The sequence below is a fragment of the Homo sapiens genome, chromosome 10 (assembly GCF_000001405.40).
Source record: "Homo sapiens chromosome 10, GRCh38.p14 Primary Assembly".
NCBI classification, from domain to species: domain Eukaryota; kingdom Metazoa; phylum Chordata; class Mammalia; order Primates; family Hominidae; genus Homo; species Homo sapiens.
The window spans coordinates 125,535,086-125,539,786 of NC_000010.11; the positions used below are offsets into that span (position 1 = coordinate 125,535,086).

General features: G+C 47.6%; 1 long non-coding RNA gene across 1 annotated transcript; it reads left to right on the forward strand.

Moving 5' to 3' along the window:
• Positions 1-1,740: 1,740 nt before the first annotated feature.
• On the forward strand, positions 1,741-4,701 carry LOC105378545 (uncharacterized). The gene is made up of 3 exons (XR_946439.2): positions 1,741-1,909; positions 4,379-4,405; positions 4,506-4,701. It is a non-coding gene; the product is annotated as an uncharacterized LOC105378545 (long non-coding RNA).

Genomic DNA, 4,701 nt, shown 5'->3' on the forward strand with positions numbered 1-4,701 from the left:
GGAGCCACAGACAACATGGAGGTAAATGGGCATGGCTCAGCCAACACAGCTCTGCAGGAACAGGGGGCAGGTGGCCCTCTGTGGGCCCCTGTTCTGAATTGCCATGAATAAATCACAGCATCTTTGGTAACTGAGTTCTGAGATGCCGGACTGTCCACAGCTGGGGCTAATTCGGCTGTGTGCCACAACTCAGGCTTTCTTGGTCATGTGAGTGCCTCTCGCCGCTGGAATGTCCACTCCGTGCTGTGTCCTCCTGACACCTGCCCGGGGCCAAGCGCTTACGTAGCATGTGGCAGAGCCAGGAGGTGACCACTCTTTAACCACTGTGCTAAGTCAGAGGTCAGCTCTTCATCGCCAGCCAGTCCTCCCCCAAGCTCCGGACCCTGTCTCATCCCACCTTCTGGACTCGCTCCAGGGGCCATCTCTGCTTTCTCCTGGGCCATCAGCCTCACCCTTCCTACTGGCCCCTTCCCATCAACAGTTAACACACACAAGGCCACTGCCCAGTTAGCATCTTCAAAACATTCTGGATCCCTCTTCTGTCTCCCTTCCTCCCTTTTCTTCTTCCTCTCTCCTCTCTTCTCCCCTCTCCCTCTCTCTCTCCTCTCTCACCTCCTCTGTCTCACTCTTGTTCTCTCTCACACGCTCTCCTCCCTTTGCAGCCGAGCTTCGTGTAAGCATCACCAGCACCCAGGGGCTCCGTTTCCTCACCTCCCACTCCCTCAGCCCACGGCAATCTGCCTTCTGCCCTCGTTACGCCCCAGAAACCTCCCTTAGCTTGCCAGTGACCTCCAATGGGCTGTTTCGGTCTCTATCTTGCCACATTATTGACTTTAAATAAATGTTTATATAAAATAAATGAATAAAGGGATAAACCAATAAATGAACATATGAAATCTCACAAGAAAAACCCCACTCATTTCCCACCACTCTAACCAGCTTAGCTCTGGAGAGCCACATCCCTCTAACCAGCTTAGCTCTGGAGAGCCCCAAATCAGCACACCCCAATATCATGGCTTCTCCAGCTGAGGTCCTGGGAATCTCATATCCCATCCTCACCCCATCCAGATCCACTGAGTAAGGGTCTCTGGGCATGGGTCTGGGACCTGCACTGTGAACAGATACTTGAGATGAAGCTTAGGCACATTACAGCTGGAGGGCCACTGCCCCACATCTGCTCTTCTGTGAGTTTTTCTGATCCAGCAATCTCTTCATAATCAATTAGATTGAAAACAATGAGTAGGGATTCTGCCTTTAAAAACATCCACAGAAACAAAGGGAAAATAAGTGTTCTCTTTGGCATGCAATAGTGCCCGGGGTCCGGTGGGTCCTTGGTTTGCTCATGACACTTACCCTTTCCACCAAGGCTGTTACTAAGGGTTGCTAGCACAGGACAACACGCAGGGCACTCCAGCCCGGGGAGGTGTGCTCTGATCAGCTTCTGCTGACATCTTGGAGACAGTGATCTGTTTTCTCTGTTTCCAATTTTTGGAACAAGAAAGTCTTATTTAGCAGGCAGAACTGCTTCTCAGAAAAATGCAAATGAGAGAACCCTTCCCCTCTTATGTGGAATGTTCAGTCGCTCTTGGTCCTTGTGATTAATAACTCGAGTCCTTTCTGTTTGTATGTTAGTTTCCATATATACAACACTGCATGGACTTTAGTGCATTTGACTCGAGCAACAATCACAGAGAGGTGGGTGGGGCATTCACCGCATCGTTACTTCCACAGATACCCAGAGGGTGCCTGTTATGTGCCCGGCGCCAGCCCTGGGTGCCATGGGAACACTGAAGAGAGACTGACATGGATGCTGCCGCCCTCGGGTACCTCCCAGGCTGCTGGAGGAGACAAGCCACGGACACAGCCACTAGTGCCACCTACAAAGTAACGAGTGCCTGCGGACTAGATCGTAAGTTCCTTGAAACCAAGAACAGAGACGACCACTCATATCCTCTGTGCCATGCACAGGGCCTGGTGGGAGTCAATTTTCACTAAACCTGGTCAAATGAATGAGACCAGTCAAGTGCTTCAGAAATTCAGAGTTGGGTTGGGATGAGTGGGGTCACTTCCCGATGAGGTGCACCCGTGGATTCGGGGCTTCCTGAAGGAGGGGACATTTGGACCCAGCAGCTCTCCCCAGCTTGTAGAGCTTCACACGATCTCTCAAGCTCAAACCTTTACAGATTAAATGTAAACTCACGGTGTCCTTGGAAAGTCAAGTTTATTTCTTAGAACATCAACCTGCATACCTTACACCTTGTACTTGAAGGAAACATTTTCTCCACCCCAAAGGCCCATTTTCATTCAGTATTCTTAGTATTAATTAAGAGAGTTTTCTCCTTTTTGTTTTTACTTTATTTTATGATTAAAAAATGTAATACAGTATCATTATAAATAATTTAGAAAGTAGAAAAAGGTTTGAACAATAAGGAAAAAAGTCAACTGTAATCCCATTACCTAGAGGTAGTTCTGATTATTATTTTTGGTATATATCCTTATAGTATGCTTGTATGTTGTATTTTTAACATTGATAAACCCATATTAAATACACAGTTTCGAGTTCTTTTCCACTGTCATTAAAAACTCTTAAAAACTTAAAAAAACACTACAGAATGTGACAGTGTTTGCACTAGAACTTAAATTTTCATTATGTTTGACATTTGGATGGTTCTAATTTAATGTTAATGTGGGAAATGTTGTCTATATTTTGAGTTATTTGCTTAGAATGGATTCCTCAAAAGAGAATTAGGGAACCAGTAGAAATGAACATTTAGGATCTTAGATCCATATTACCAAATTGCTTTCTAGAAAGTGTGCCCCAGCATGCACTGCCCCATTGGGTTTGAGAGTGCTTGCAACACTTCAGCTTCCCAGCTCTTCCAGTTACACACCACTGCAGAACAAACTAGCCCCAAACCAAAAAGACTTCGAGGAACAGTCATTTTATTCTCTTACGATGTTATGGGTCAGGGATTCAGGCAGGGCTCAGCCGGTCAGTCCTTCTGCCCTACATGGCATTGACTGAGGTTTCTTGGTGGTGTTGAGTCGGCCGCTGGTCAGAGGGTCCAAGCTGGCCTCCCCACATGCCTGCAGTCTGGCAGGGATGGCTGGAAGGCCGGGCTTATAACTCCCTTCCCCTGCTCATGCACTCTCAGGGCCTCATCACAAGGTCTCTCCCACCGGGCAGTCAGACTCTGGGTGCCACCCAGTGAGCCAGGGCTCCCAGAGATGGGAAGTGGAACCTGCCAGTCTCTTAAGGCACAGCATCACTTCCACTGTATTCTGTTGGTCGAAGCACCACAGAGCTCACCAAAGTTCAAGGGAGCGGGCCGAGACCTTGTTTCTTAGGAGTGTCAAAGAATTTATGGTCACCTGTGATTTACCACATCAGCATTGAATATTGTCATGAGAAACATTTATTTGTTTGCTAATTTGAAAGCTGACATGATAAACTAGTGAGGCTTTCATCTGAATTTATTGATTCTACTCTTCAACTTTTACATATATTTTCTTAGCCATTTAAATTTCCCCACTTGGGAGATTTTTGGTCCTGCCCTTTGGGTCTTTTCCAGCTCTGCCACTTACAACTATAAGATGCCAGACAGGTTAGTGGAACTTTCTGCATCCTCACTGCTTCCTCTATAGCATGGGGGTAATGATCTTACCCCTCTGCAAACCTTCAAGGGTTGCTATGAAGCTCAAATGAGAGAGAAAATGTAAAGGGCGTATTCAATACCATGCCTGACCCATGACAAATTCTCAGTACCCACTATTGTTAATAGTGTCATCTGTTCAGAGTCTTGTCATAATACTCAGGTGCCAGGTTGGTGGAAACACATGTGGAGAGGACACAGGGTTCCTGGGTTGCAGGAGAAGGAAAAGCAGAACATCCTCCGTGCACCACTTGGTGCCAGTTTAAGCCACAATTCCCTGGCACCTCTGCCCAAGGGCAGGGAGCTGCTGGCTTGTGAGTGGGCACAATGCCATCCTACGAGATGGGAATGAAAACAGGCAGCCAGGGGATCATGTGTGTCCTGCTGTATTTGTTAAACAAACCGCTCCCAGCCGGAGAGCACTAAAACAGCTGTCAATCCTGGTCTTACAAGCCCGTGGTAATAGGAGACGTGCAATCATTAATCTAGCTCTGGGAAGAATTACCTTTCCAACTTTTTTTTTTTTTTTAAAGAAACAGTACATCACAGCCCACATATACAGACAGAGGTGGGCATCAGAGTTGATTTACGCCTCATCCATCAAACTGAAATAAATGTTATTCCATGGAAATGAAACCAACACTCACAGACTGAGGTAGTAAATTCCCTTGCTGAACCCTGACTGAGGGGTGCTCCCATTTCTCACTTCCCCCTCTTGTCTGAAGGTGACACTACACCCTGCCACCAGCAGCGTAAGTGCCTTTAGTAGCTCTTCCTCCCGATGAGTGATCATGGGTTGTGTATGGCCAGCCACTTGCTTTCTTCCTGATTCCTCTCAACATCTGGTCACAGCTGGCAGCCTCTTCCAGTGACATTTTGGACCGTAAGTGGATCAAGACGCAGCCTTGTCAGCCCCCACATCTCAGGATGCTCCAGGTGGGTAATGGGCCTGGACAAAGAACAGGCACGTGCGAGATGTGGCAGGGAGGGAAGGCACGCGCTCTCCCCGCACCTAAAAACCATGCGACTTGGGCTTCCTGGGCCTCAG